The sequence below is a fragment of the Homo sapiens genome, chromosome 17 (assembly GCF_000001405.40).
Source record: "Homo sapiens chromosome 17, GRCh38.p14 Primary Assembly".
In the NCBI taxonomy this organism is placed as follows: Eukaryota; Metazoa; Chordata; class Mammalia; order Primates; family Hominidae; genus Homo; species Homo sapiens.
The window spans coordinates 67,091,194-67,106,401 of NC_000017.11; the positions used below are offsets into that span (position 1 = coordinate 67,091,194).

The 15,208-nt window shown below is 36.9% G+C and overlaps 1 protein-coding gene across 9 annotated transcripts in view; it reads right to left on the reverse strand.

Moving 5' to 3' along the window:
* The window catches only part of HELZ (helicase with zinc finger), a 175,546-nt gene that overhangs the window by 20,750 nt on the left and 139,588 nt on the right, over positions 1 to 15,208 (reverse strand). The window lies entirely within an intron of this gene.

Consider the following 15,208-nt stretch of genomic DNA (forward strand, 5'->3'; position numbering starts at 1 on the left):
AAATGTATAAGGACTACAATAAAGTAAAAATTCAAATACATAATGATATCAAATAATAATATTCAAAGTGAAAAAAGAAGGGGAAAAAAGCCTCAATGGTCATCCTGAGGCCTGCTAAGGCCTCAATTCATTACTCTGAAAATTGACTAATAAAGGGCAAGGATTAAACATTTATCCTTCCCTTTCTACATAGACTATATTTTAGGTAGTAATTAAATATTCAATGAGGAAAAGTTCTCCTTTATAAAAGAAAAATAAATACAAAAGAAATTCAAAGAAGTTTTAAATAATCATTTTGCCATTCTAATGAAACAATAGATCTAAGCAACAACCATCAACAGCTGCTAAAATCTGAAAGGTTGCTAGAAATTTTAACGTCAATAGATCAGAATGACATCATCTGATCACTGAAACATACTGATCAACTTAACATAGCTAAAGTGGGAAAACTGGATATTATGTACATCTTTAAACATATAATTTAAAATGAGACATTACATACTGCCTGGTAATTTTTCACTGAAATATCATAGGTATCTTTCCATGTCATGGACACTCTTATAATATCAGATTTAATAAGCTGCATTTTTTTTCTTCATTTACTTAAAACTAATCTATTTAATTTCCCCAAGATTTGAGGAAGAAATCCTTGATTATAGAACACTTAGGGTCTACTAACTTATTTCAATTTAGCTCCCCCTCAAATTATCATTTTCTGCTTAAAGCAAATACGCTACAGTTTGGTGGATCAGTACAGTTCCCTAGAGAGAAAAAACTAGATGGAGCAAGGAGAGGACTATCACTATAAGACTAAAAATAATCAATTTATTAACAAGCCAGATAACGTGTGATGAATAAACTGTAGTTTACAACAGTAATATCTGTGGGTTCATATCTATGGGTTCATGTGATGTAATCTATTGAAAAGCACTTGATAAATTACAAAATCATTTTTTAAAAGCATGATTCCCAGTTAATGGTGGCAACTGGCCCAAGACTCCACTAAAATAATAATAAATGAATATTATAGATATACAACAATCAAGACCATGAGCCTCGTCATCAATAGAGGACACATTTCCAGAATACATGGAGACTGGATGGAGGAATGGTGTCTGTGGAAGAAGAATGAAATTATAGCTACCCCCCAAGAAGGGAAACGATTCACCTAGCAGAATTCCACAGAGGCTTGCCAACTAATATAAAATGAAAGGAAGATGAAGGGATAAAATTAGGGGGGTTAAATGAAAGTCTATACAGGAAACAGCTGGACTCATACTCCTCCCCGCAACAACAGTGGGACACAGCCAGCCAGGTACCTACAATACAGACAAAAAGATAAGGAGACAGACAAGCAAAAATCCGGGAAAAACGAAGGGCTCCACATGGATTCAAGCACTAAAAAGTCCCCAGTGAAAGGCCTGCCAGGCAATACATCCTGTGATATACACAAAACTCCCAAGTTGCTTTTTAGTGAAAGATAATCAAGCGGCCAGGCGCAGTGGTTCACGCCTGTAATCCCAGCACTTTGGGAGGCCGAGGTGGGTGGATCACCTGAGGTCAGGAGTTTGAGACCGGCTGGCCAACATGGTGAAACCCCATCTCTACTAAAAATATAAGAATTAGCCGGGAGTGGTGGCGGGTGACTGTAATCCCAGCTACTTGAGAGGCTGAGGCAAGAGAACTGCTTGAAACCGGCGGGGGGGGGAAGTTGCAGTGAGCCAAGATTGTGCCACTGCACTCCCACCTGGGTGACAGAGCAAAACTCTGTCTCATAAAAAAAAAGATAATCAAGGATTACCAGACTTTTAAGGAAGGTCTCCAGCATAAAAGATAGTCCCAGATGAACAAGTTGAAAAAAGGGAGGCCCGGAAAGAAACAATAGTGATGTTTTAAAAATATTTTAGAACATTGTTTTAGTTCTTATTAAAAATCAAAAACAAAACAACAACAAACCCTCTAACTGGTGTTCTCAGAAAAGGCACTGCAGAAAACAAGATGTTATGAAAAAGGAAAAAGCTCAGAATAAAGAACTCTTGTGAGTTTAAAACCTGAGGGCTCAAATATTAAATGCAATAGTTCTTGCAGATAAAATCAAGGAAATCTTCCTGAAAGTAAGAAAAAGTACAAAGGTATCAAAGTATGACAGGAAATAAAGATTTGGAGAATCTAGGAGGCCCAACATCTTATCAAAAGAAGTTTCAGAAAGTGAGACATGGAGAAAAATAATGCTAGAAAATTATCAAAAAAGATTAATAATAATAGACAATTTCACACAGTTGAAGGATATGAGTCCTTCTCTAAAGCAATGCTGTCCAAAAACTATTTCCTGTGACGATGGGAATGTTCTGTGTCTGTACTGTTCCATAAGGCAGCGCCTTGCCATGGGAGCTCCTGGTCAGTCAAAATGAGCCTACTAGGACTGAGGAACTCAATTTTAAATCTTATTTCATTCCTAATCATAACCTATCCATCAAGAATTCCTCTAGGTTCTACCTGCAAAGTAGATCCTGAATTTATTTCTTACCATTTCCACTGCTACCCCACAGTCCAAGCCACAATCACCTCTTGCCTAGATAACTATGACATCCTTCACTATTTATATTATTTTTAAAACTCTAAACAAATAAATTGCATTATTTTCATACAATTTCTAAAGTAATTTTAATGTCATTTTAGCCTTATAAAACTCAATCATAATGACAGAAGCAAAAATTTATCTTAGTTCCCAAAACTATAGTAGATTTATTTCTAGGTTTTGTTGTTTCCCTTAAAAGATACAGACCAAACTCCCGCAACATGTAATTTACCCATATAACAAACCTGCACGCATACTCCACTGAACCTAAGATAAAAGCTGGAAACAGCATGTAGTCCCAGCACTTTTGGAGGCCGAGGTGGGCAGAGTGCTTAAGTTCAAGAGTTCAAGACCAGCTGGGTGACACAGGAAAACCCCATCTCCACCAAAAAATACAAAATTTAGCTGGGTGTGGTGGCATGCATCTGTAGTCCCAGCTACTTAGGGGGCTGAGGTGGGATGATCGCTTGAGCCTGGAAGGCAGAGGTTGCAGTGAGCTGAGATCATATACTGCACCTTGCGCCTGGGTGACAGAGGGAGACCTGGTCTTGAAAAAAAAAAAAGAGAGAGAGAGAGAGAGAGATACAGGCATACCTTGGAGATATTGCAGGTTTGGTGAGAGAGAGAGAGAGAGAGATACAGACATACCTTGGAGATATTGCAGGTTTGGTGAGAGAGACAGAGAGATACAGACACACCTTGGAGATATTGCAGGTTTGGTTCCAAACTACTGCAATACAGCTAATACTGCAATAATGTGAGTCACGTAAATTTTTTGGTTTTCCAGTGCATATAAAAATTATATTTATACTATACTATAATCTATTAAGTGTGCAATAGCATTGTATGTTTAAAAAAACACAATGTATAAAGGCAAGCATGGTGTCACATGCCTGTAGGCCCAGCTACTTGGGAGGCTGAAGAGGGAGGATCATTTGAGCCCATGAGTTTGAGGCTTAAGTGAGTTATGATCACACCCATGAATAGCCACTGCATTCCAGCCTGTGCAACATAGTGAGACACTCTTTAAGACATTTTTTAAAATGTATATGGCTTAATTTTAAAATAATGTATTGCTTGTGATTCTCTGGCTAAAAAACTTAATCACAAAAAATACATACTGTATTGCTAAAAAATGCTCACTGACCAGGGTGGTGGTTGCTGAAGGCTGAGGTGGCTGTGGCAATTTCTTAAAATAAGACAATAATAAAGTTTGCCGCATCAGTTGACTCTTCTTTTCACAAAAGATTTCCTTATAGCACACAAAGTTGTTTGATGGTATTTTACTCACAGAACTTCTTTCAAAATGGGAGTCAATCTTCTTAAGCCCTTCCAGTATTTTATCAACTAAATTTATGGAATATTCTAAATCCTTTGAACTCCTTTGTTGTCATTTCAACAATGTTCACAGCATCTTCCCAGGAGTAGATTCCATCACAAAAAAACACTTTCTTTGTTCACCCATAACAAGAAATTTCTCACTGGGCTCAGTGGTTCACGCCTGTAATCCCAAAACTTTGGGAGGCCAAGGTGGGAGGATCACTTGAGGCCAGGAGTTCAAGTCCAGCCTGGGTAACATAGTGAGATACAAACAAACAAACACCAAAAACAAAACAAAACAAAAAAATTAGCCAGGCATGGTGGTATGTGCCTGTAGCCCCAGATACTGAGGAGGCTGAGGTGGGAGGATTGCCAGGGTCCAGGAGGTCAAGGCTGCAGTGAGTCATGATTGCACCACTGCACTCCAACCTGGGTGACGAAGCAAGACCCTTCTCTTCAAAACAAAAGGGAAGAAATTCCTCATCTACCCAAGTTCAATCATAAGATTACAGCAAGTTAGTCATATCAGGCTCCACTTCTAATTCTAGTTCTCTTGCTATTTCCACCACATCTGCAAGTTACTTCCTCCACTGACTTCTTGAACCCCTCAAAGGCATCCATGGTGATGGAATCAACTTCTTCCAAACTCCCGTTCATATTGATATTTTGACCTCTTCCCAACAATCACAACAAGAAAGCGTTTTTTAGCAATACAGTATATATTTTTTGTTCTTAAATTTTTTAGCCAGAGAATCATTAATGGCATCTAGAATGGTGAATCCTTTCCAGAAGGTTTTTAATTTACTTTGTCCAGATCCATCAGAGGAATCACTGTCTGTGGCAGCTATAGCCTTACAAAATGTATTTCTTAAATAAGACTTGAAAGTCAGAATGACTCATTGATCCATGGGCTGCAGAATGGATGTGTTAGCAGGCATGAAAACAACATTCATGTCCTTGCACAGCTCCATCAGAGTTCTTGGATGACCAACTGCATTGTCAATGAGCAGTAATATTTTGAAAGGAATCTTTTTAAAAAATCCCACCCCCCCTCCCCCGCCCACCAGCAAAGCAGTAGGTCTCAATAGTGGGTTTAAAACATGGGTTAAACCATGCTGTAAATGGATATGCTGTCATCCAGGCTTTATTGTTCCATTTATAGAGCACAGGCAGCATGGATTCAGCATCATTCTTCAAAGCCTTAGGATTTTTGGAATGGTAAACAAGCACTGGTTTCAACTTAAAGTTCACCAGCTGCATTAGTTCCTAACAAGACAGTCAGCCTGTTCCTCGAAGCTTTGAAGCCAGGTATTGACTTCTTCCTCTCTACCTGAGAAAGTCCTAGACAGCATCTTCTTCCAATAAGAGGCTGTTTTGTCTACACAGAAAATCTGTAGTTTGGTGTAGCCATCTTCATCAATGATCTTAGCTAGATCTTCTGGGTAACTTGCTGCAGCTTCTATATTAGCACTTGCTGTTTCACCTTGCACTTTTATGTTATGGGGATGGCTTCTTTCCTTAAACCTCATGAACCAACCTCTGCTAGCTTCCAACTTTTCTTCTCCAGCTTCTTCATCTATCTCCAGCCTTCACAGAATTGAAGAGAGTGAGGGTCTTGCTCTGGATTACGCTTTGGCTTAAGGGAATGTTGTGGCTGGTTTGATCTTCTAACCAGATCACTCAAACTTTCTCCACATCACTCAAACTTTCTCCACATCAGCCATAAGGCTGTTTCATTACATTCTTATCATCTGTATATTCACTGAAGTAGCACTTTTAATTTCCTTCAAGAACTTTTCCTTTGCATTCCCAGCTTGGCTAACTGTTATAAGAGGCCTAGTTTTTGGCCAGTCTTAGCTTTTGACATGCCATTTTCACTAAGCTTAACCATTTCTAGTTTTTGATTTAAAGTGAGAGGCATGCAACTTGTCCTTTTACTTAAATAGAGGCCATGGTAGCATTGTTAACTGGCCTGATTTCAATACTGTTGTGTCTCAGGGAATAGGGAGACCCAAGGAGACTAAGTGATGGGGGAACAGCAAGTCAATGGAGCAGTCAGAATACACATAACACTGATTGCTCAAAAACAATCACAATAGCAACATCAAAGATTATTGATCACAACAGATAAAGAAATAATGAAAAAGTTTAAAATACTGTGAGAATTGTCAAAATGTGATACAGAGGCACAAAGTGAGCACGTGCTGTCAGAAAAATGGCGCTTATAGACTTGCTCAACATGGGGTTACCATAAACCTTCAATTTGTAAAAACTATAATATCTGTGAAATGCAATAAAGCAAAGTACAATAAAACAAGGCATGCCCATATACTGAAATAAATGTGACTTTGCAACACAGTGCATCAAAATCAATTTGGGTCTAAATTTTAAAAAATGCCATTTGAAGCATCTCAGAGGCAAGGGCACTTATAATTTACAAATAGTATTTTCCTACCAAGCAATATTATTTTCCTATACATCCATATACAAGGTCATAGAAGGGATACCAGAACGAATACAATATTACATCTCAGAGAAAAACGTCAGGTTCACTGCTGTGACATTTGGAGCTACCTTGAATCTATCTGACTCTTGTTTACTGTTCTTGAATATGAAACAGTGAATTAACAATTATAGAGCACAACAGCTCTTACAATGAGCAAATGTTGGGGTGGATAGGAAATAAAATAGTTTGCAGTAAAAGTTTACTCTTTGACCCACAACTATTTGAATTTTCTCTGAAGATTCATAATTATTAAAACTAAATAAATTTTCCAGCTTTTGGAAAAAATGTAATGCTGGAGAATGTGTTTTATTCTTAAAGAATGTGGAGAAATTAAGTACATTTCTGATATTTGAGATCTCTAAATTAATCATTTGAGCAGTCAAACATTTAGCAGCTACAACTGGATACAATTCAAGAAATCAAGAATTCTAAAATGAACTAGCTCCCTTTCTCCCCACCACCCAGAAAAAATAAAAGGCAAATTTTACACAACTGAAGATTGAATTCTTCACAAGAACATAATTTTGCTTTTCCCCCACATCTAGTTCTGTGTAATTGCAATCATTTCTCATTTTCTAAGAATAAACCTTACTCATGGAATAGAGATCTGAAGAGCAGTGTGATGCTTCAGAAACAGCATGGGACTGTCAGGAGTCTCCACTCCCTTGAGTTAATAACTGCTTAAGTTACAAGTCCTTTAATATCTTTGTGCCTCGGTTTCCTTTTAAAAGGGGGGAGTTAAATGATCTTTAAGGCCTGACTAGTTCCAAAGTTACAAGATTTAAAGTCTTTGATAAATCAAAGTCTTTTTCAATAAGAATATATTTTAACTTTTAATTAAAAATGTCCAAACAAAGCCAGGCGTGGTGGCTCACGCCTGTAATCCCAGCCCTTTGGGAAGCCAAGGTGGGCGGATCACCTCAGGTCAGGAGTTTGAGACCAGCCTGGCCAACGTGGTGAAATCCCGTCTCTACTAAAAAAAAAAAAAAAAGAAAAATTAGCTGGGCATGGTGGTGGGTGCCTGTAATCCCAGCTACTTGGGAGGCTGACACAGGAGAATTGCTTGAACCTGGCAGGCGGAGGTTGCAGTGAGCCGAGACTGCACCACTGCACTCCGGCCTGGGTGACAGAGCGAGACTCCATCTCAAAAAGTAAAAATAAAAATGTCCAAACAACATCTATCATCTTTAACAACCATCAACAATTTGATAGACTCGCTAAAATATTCCAAGTGTGATGACAAATCCAAGCCTATTTATGTGATTTAAATCCAGAAAACTATAGGACATGCTAACTGACTGCAATGAAATGGATTCTGGGCAACAAGTTTAAAATGTCCTTTTTTCCTCTGCCAGAGGGTACTTCCTATACAGTAAAGGCCCCCAAACCAAAATTTTAGAAAAACATCTGTAGCCTACAAAAGAAAAATATTTCTGACAGAGAAATCCCTTTACATCTCTATCAACACTGTAGCTTTGTGGGCCCCTAGGCTGTTTAAACATACTTTCCTTCCTTTCTGTTCTCATTTCTTATTTATTCTTGTTTCTATTCTTATCTTTTATTTTCTTTTCTTATTTCTTGACTTTGTTTCCTATTGCTTTCGCCCAGTTCTGTTTCGGGAAGTGAGTATTCCTTCTACATACATCTTCAGCCAATCAGATTGTTCCTTTATTTTCGGATGGCAACCCTACCAATGACTGATGCTCAGGTTTAATTTTAGAGTCCTCAGGTCTTAAATAATTTCATTAATGTTGTTTAAAGGCTCATTTACCCTGCCAGAGAGATTCTTAAAGAGATTCTGTGAAGTTCAGTATCAACTCCATATATGATTGTGTGTTTATAAATATGCTTCATGTTTTACTGTGAGATTATGGTACTACACATATAATCACGATTTTCAAATTCTGCTAATATTTCTTTCCAAATATTAAAATGTAATGCTAACATTTCAAAAGCCATTTAATACAGGAAATCTAAGAAAGAAGGAAAAAACTAAACTACAAAACTCATGTATAAATTTTTACTGTTAAAGATAGTTTTAGTTTGAGTAAAAACTCCTAATTTGCTTACCACTGTCTTATAAGATATACCTCTAATATATGACGTTATCAAGCCATTTCACCTGTGTGTATATAAATAGATAACTGGGGAAAGGTCAGCAACTTAATTAATAAGGGCTCTATTTATAATTATGCCATCAAAGCTAATCACCAAGTAAGAGCTAAATACACTAGTTGAAATTCTAAGTCTCATTAACGATGGTGCCAGAAATTTTAATTAAAATAGAACATCTCATTTAAATGATTAGCTTTGATAATTTAAGCATGAATAGAGGTCTAATTTATTAATTTGCTGATCACTGTTACATGCATTAGATGGTTTATTAGATATCATACATTAATGATCTCTTTGAGAAGCTATGTCAGAGAAGACAGCAATATTTCTACCTCGTTATACAACACAAGTCATAAGCTATCACCATCTATTCCTAAAGTGAGAATAGGCAATAATCAACCAAGATTATAATCTTCAAGATACATCTGTACAATACTTTCCTCTAAAAAAGAGAAATTGGGGGAGTCACGATGATTAGACAACAGTATGTTGAAATTAAAATTATCAACTAATTTAAAACAAGAGTTGTTTGAAAGAAAAAATGAAAATAGATGGCTCAAAGTGTCTCTGTTGAAAAACCAACACACAGAACAAGAAATAGTTCAAAGCAGACACATCACTGAAACATGTATGTCATCTCTAAGATGATGTAAGTAAATGTCGATTTACTGAAAGCTGATCAAAGTAAGTGACTTACTAGCATTCCATTTTTATCAGAAAGCCATTACAATATCACAACACAAAAATGAGCCATTTCACAAGCCAACTCCGAGACTTTTACAAAGATGCCTTCAAAAAGGATTTTCTATTTATTCCTTATGAGCACTTTTAATCAAACTACTCCATAGTGAAGCACATCTTAAATGGCAAAAGCTTTCCTTTGCACCAGTATCAACATTGCTACATAATCGTTTTGAGAATTTGTCCCTGAAGATAAAATGACTGAAAAGTATAATGGAAAAAAAAGGTCCCATTAATAACAAAAACAAAACAAAACACATCACTCTAAGAATATTGGAAATACTCAAGATTTAAATGAAGATGCTACAGATTTTTGAAGAGGAACATTCAAAAAATAAGAGAGAGAGAGAAAGAAAGAAGAGAGAGGCCAGGCATGGTGGCTCACACCTGTAATCCCAGCACTTTGGGAGGCTGAGGCAGGCGGATCACGAGGTCAGGAGATTGAGACCATCCTGGCTAACATGGTGAACCCCCGTCTCTACTAAAAATATTAAAAATATTAAAAAATTAGCTGGGCGCAGTGGTGGGTACCTGTAGTCCCAGCTACTCGGGAGGCTGAGGCAGGAGAATGGCATGAACCCGGGAGGCGGAGCTTGCAGTGAGCCCAGATAGCGCCACTGCACTGCAGCCTGGGTGACAGAGCGAGACTCCGTCTCAGAAAAAAAAAAAAAAAAGGAAAAATAGAAGAAGAGAGAAAAAGGGAGGGAGGAAAGAAGGAAATAAATTAAATGAGAAGTATTTGTAAAGATAAAATTTCCCTCAATTTAAGCTACAAGTTTAATGTATTTCAAATAAAAAGCCAAGAAGGGTGTGTAGAGGTGGGACAGAGGAGGAGGAAAGAGTTCATAAAGTTATTTTAAATTTTTTTTTAGTAGTAAAACCACAGAATGACCCTCCTCCCCCATCCACTCCATGCCCCACATATAGAAACTGGAAGGGAAAAAGTAATAAGGGAGACTTTAAACTACTGGGTTAGAATGCCACAAAATCTCAAAACTTAAAACAGTATAATTCTAGCACAGAAACTTATAGATGAAGAAAAACACAAAGTCCAGAAATAGATCACAATATGTAATGAAGAAATACATCTTACTCAGAGGTTAGAGTATTAAATTATCATGCAAAGTGAAAAATCCCACACAGATAAAAATTACCTTTGAAAAATCCTTAATCATGCCAAAATTACTAAAAACTGAACTTTTGGAAGCTCAGAGGTCAAGAATTAACTTCTGTTGTTTCTCTCTGCATTTCATTTTGCACTACCCCCACCCCTCGGAGCAAGTATGATACAGTGCTATTGCAAAGAATTTGGAAAGTGACATCTCTTTAGTGAGAATGTAATAATTCCAAAAAGACAGGAAGACAACTGGCTAAACGTCTAGAGAAAATGTAAACACTAATCCCAAGCTTACACTGGCATTTAAAATCAAATTGGAGCAATTTATCAATCTATTGGCAATTGGGGATGGTCTACTGCCTGGCTCAGGAGAAGATGGCACTTTGCCCTTTGTTGTCCTCCTCATCCCATCACACCTGTAAGGACCGGAAGTGGGAAAGGATGCAGGCAGTACTGCCAGACCACAATGTCCAGCCTTAGCCAAGCAGCCAAGGGCCATGGCTTTTGCTGCGTTTGAGGTGGGGAAGGAAAATCCATGGAGTTAAGCCTAATTATCTACATGAGAATAGTCTAAAAATTGAAAGTAGCAAAAAATGTTACAGAATGGGACCAAGATCCCATTCAGTGGTGATATAGGTGGGCATAGCAATTGGGGGAAGGGCAGAGAGAAATTGTTTCAAGTTTTCCCAACAAATAATCTCCCTCCATTAATGGATCATACATTCACATCTATAAATGCTAGGAAAGGCTAAATGTTATAGTAGGTATCTTTGTCTAGTTAAATTATAAATAATTTCTCTAACTTCTACATTTTCTGTGCTGGCCATGTATTTCATTTGTCACAAGAAAATCAAAATTACTATAAAAAGAAAAAACAAGTGAAACATAATGTAACCAACCATTTCCATTTAAATGAACTGTTACACTAACATCCAGATATCATCCCACAAGATTAATCTACTAAGTTTTCTGGGAATAAAAGGATCCATAGTGGGAGGGAAAAGCCTTTTCTTTGTTGTTAACGTTAAAGAAATTATTTTAAAAGGTTGGAAATAAACAGCAAGCACATCAATCATTCACTTTGTGAGATGATTCATGCAAAAGCATTTTGAACAGACTAAAGTTACCCTAATACACTGAAAATGTGAAAATCTGCAATGTGCTAAAAAAATATTATCTTTGTCAAATAAATTTTTCAGTGTTGTCAGTAAATCACTCATTTGTGAATCTCATGCAACAAAATAAAACTGACCAAATGTTTTTGCAAAAGTAAATTTCACTCTAAGAACCCACTGACAATGAAAGGTACTTATTCACACACAAACAAAGATAACAGAAATATCAGACATTAAGAGCACCAAGGTACAAAAAGCTTAAATTCCAAAATTAAGGCCCATTTAAAAAGATCAATGACTAAAGTAGATTATTCAATATGAAGTATTATTTAGTAAAGTACAAAACTTCATAAAACCTATAAAAACTTTGGCACACAGTTCCCCCTCATATCATGAACTCATTTGGCAGGTTAAATAAAAACATCATAAGTGATATCAGCAAAAATGGCAGAGTGAGAAACTCCAAAGTCCATCCCTCCATAAAAACAGAAAAAAATTGGCAAAAGCTGTCATAATCCATTTTTTGGGAACCTAGAAACCTAATTAAAAGCTTGTGGCAACCAGAAAAACAATCAAGAATTAAGCAAGAAAAAGAAATAAAAGGCATTCAGATTGGAAAGGAAGAATGAAACTATTTTTATTTGTAGATGACATTATCTTCCATATAAAAAAGCCTAAGATATCTACAAAAAAATCTGTTAATAGAGTTCAGCAAGATTGCAGATACACAATCAATATATCATCATGTGGTTAAACACTAGCAATGAACAATCAAAAAATGAAATTAAGAAAACAATTCCATTTATGATAGCATGAGAAAGAATAAAATGCTTAGGAATAAATTTAACAAAAGAAGTGCAAGACTTATACTTGGAAAATTACAAAATACTGTTGAAAGAAATGTTAAGCGTCCTGAACAAATAGAAAGATGTCCATGTTCAGGTACTCGAAGACTTAATATTGTTAAGGTTGCAATACTCCCCAAATTAATCTAGAGATTTAAAGCAATTCTTTTTTTAAATGTCAGCTGGCTTTTTTTCTGAAGAAATTAGTAAGCTGATCCTAAACCTCACATGAGAAAATTCAAGGAACCCAGAATAGCCAAAACAATCTTCCAAAAGAACAAAATATAAGGACTCATACTTCCAATTCCAAAACTTACTACAATACTACAGTGTACAATACAGTGTGGTACTGGCAGAAAGACAGACACACAGATAAATGAAATACAATGGAGAATCCACAAATAAACCCAGCATCTACAGTCAACTGATTTTTGACAATGTTGCCAAGACTATTCAATGGGGGAAAGGAGTCTTTTCAAAAGCGGTGCTGAGAAAACTGTATGGCCACATGCAAAAGAATGAATTTGATACCCACCTCACACAATATACAAAAATTAACTCAAAATGGACCAAAGAACTAAGAACCAAGTGTAAGAGGTAAAACTATAAAACTATAAAAAGGGGCCGGGTGCGGTGGCTCAAGCCTGTAATCCCAGCACTTTGGGAGGCCGAGGCGAGCAGATCACGAGGTCAGGAGATTGAGACTATCCTGGCTAACATGGTGAAACCCCGTATCTACTAAAAAAAATACAAAAAAAATTAGCCGGGTGTGGTGGTGGACACCTGTAGTTCCAGCTATTCCGGAGGGTGAGGCAGCAGAATGGCGTGAACCCGGGAGGCGGAGCTTGCAGTGAGCCGAGATGGCGCCACTGCACTCCAGCCTGTGCAACAGAGCGAGACGCCATTTCAAAAAAAAAAACAAACAACTATAAAAAGGAAATGTAAAAGTACATCTTTGCCATCTTGGATTAGGCCAGGGTTTCTTGGATATGACACCAAAAGCATAAGCAGCCAAAGAAAAAAATAGATAAATTGTAGTTTAGCATCAAAGGACACTATCAAGAAAGTGAAAAGACAACCCACACAGTGAGAGAAATAATTGCAAATCATATATGAGATTAAGAGTCTGTACCAGAATACATTAAAAAAAACCTCTTATAACTAAGTAACAAAAAAATAACCATTTTTTTAAATGGCTGAAGCATATGAATAGACATTTCTCCAAAAAAGATACAAATGACCAAGAAGCACATGCAAAGATGTCAACATCATCAGTAAATAGGGAAATGCAAATCAAAACTACAGTGAGGGCTGGGCGCGGTGGCTTACGCCTGTAATCCCAGCACTTTGGGAGGCTGGGGGCGGATCACCTGAGGTCAGGAGTTTGAGACCAGCCTGGCCAATATCGTGAAACCCCGTCTCTACTAAAAATACAACAACAACAACAACAAAATTAGCTGGGTGTGGTGGTGGGCGCCTGTAGTCCCAGCTACTCAGGAGCCTGAGGCAAGAGAATTGCTTGAACCTAGAAGGCAGAGGTTGCAGTGAGCCAAGATCATGCCACTGCGCTCCAGCCTGGGCGACTGAGTGCGACTCCGTGTCAAAAAACAAACAAACAACACTACAATGAGATCCTACTACACACCCATTAGGATGGTTATAATTTTTTTTACAAAGCGAGTATATAGAGAAATTGGAATCCTCATACATAGCTGTGGGAATATAAATGTGCAGAGAACACAGTTTGCAGTTCCTCAAAAAGTTAAACATAGACTTACTACATCACCCAAGAACTCCACTCCTAAGTTACAGTGTGGATGCACTTCAAAAGCCAGATATAAAAGGCCACATAATGTATGACTCAATTTTTATGAAATGTCTCCATAGACACAGAAAGTAGATTAGTGGTTACTAATCTGAGAGTGGGGAAATTGGGGTGTAATTGCTTAACAGTTATGGGGTTTCTTTTATGGGTGATGAAATGTTCTGGAATTAGACAGTAGTGATGACTGTATAACATTGTGAATACACTAAAATCCACCAAATTGTACAATTTAAAATGGCTAAAATGGTGACTTTTATGTGAATTTTATTATAAATAGCTAAAACATCACTTAACTGAAAATTACATTACTGATCAGTTGTAAAACTACTGTTCATTATAATCTGAAAGACTGTCAGATGTGTGCCAAATTTTTGTAAAGTATGGTTCCAAAATTCTAGATCCTCACAATACATATATGTAGATACCAATTCATCTTTATTGTGCTTCTAACTTACTTTAAGAGCCTAAAATCACAGTAAGTTGTTTTAATGACAGCTATACAGAATGAGCCAATCAATGAATACTGGGACAATTTGAACAGACTGCCTCTAAATCCCTACAAATAAGACATACAGCTTTCCCTATGAATCTTGACTTTTAATTAGCATCTATAGCAGGCAACTTGTAAAATGTGAATCAATTATTTCTAATGGCCTTTAGATATCATTCTGAAACTGCCAAAATGAAGCTAATATCAAAAAAGTATTTTTCATATATCAAAATTAGAAATCTTTATCCTGATTTAAGATGTCTCTGTCTGATATGACTACAACCGGCTTTACACATTTTTATCTTTAATCACTGCAAATTTAATGGGATCAGCTAGACATTTTTGTAGCCTACACCACATGGTACTGCTTTGGAAGTTTTATAACCTGGAATTACTAAGTTTTTCATAGGAAAAAAAAGTCCATAAAGATGCTCTTTAGAAATATCTAAGTATTTTACTTTATTTATTTATTTTTTTTTTTGAGACAGAGTCTTGCTCTGTCGCCCACGCTGGAGTGCAGTGGCATATCTTGGCTCACTGCAAGCTCAGCCTCCCG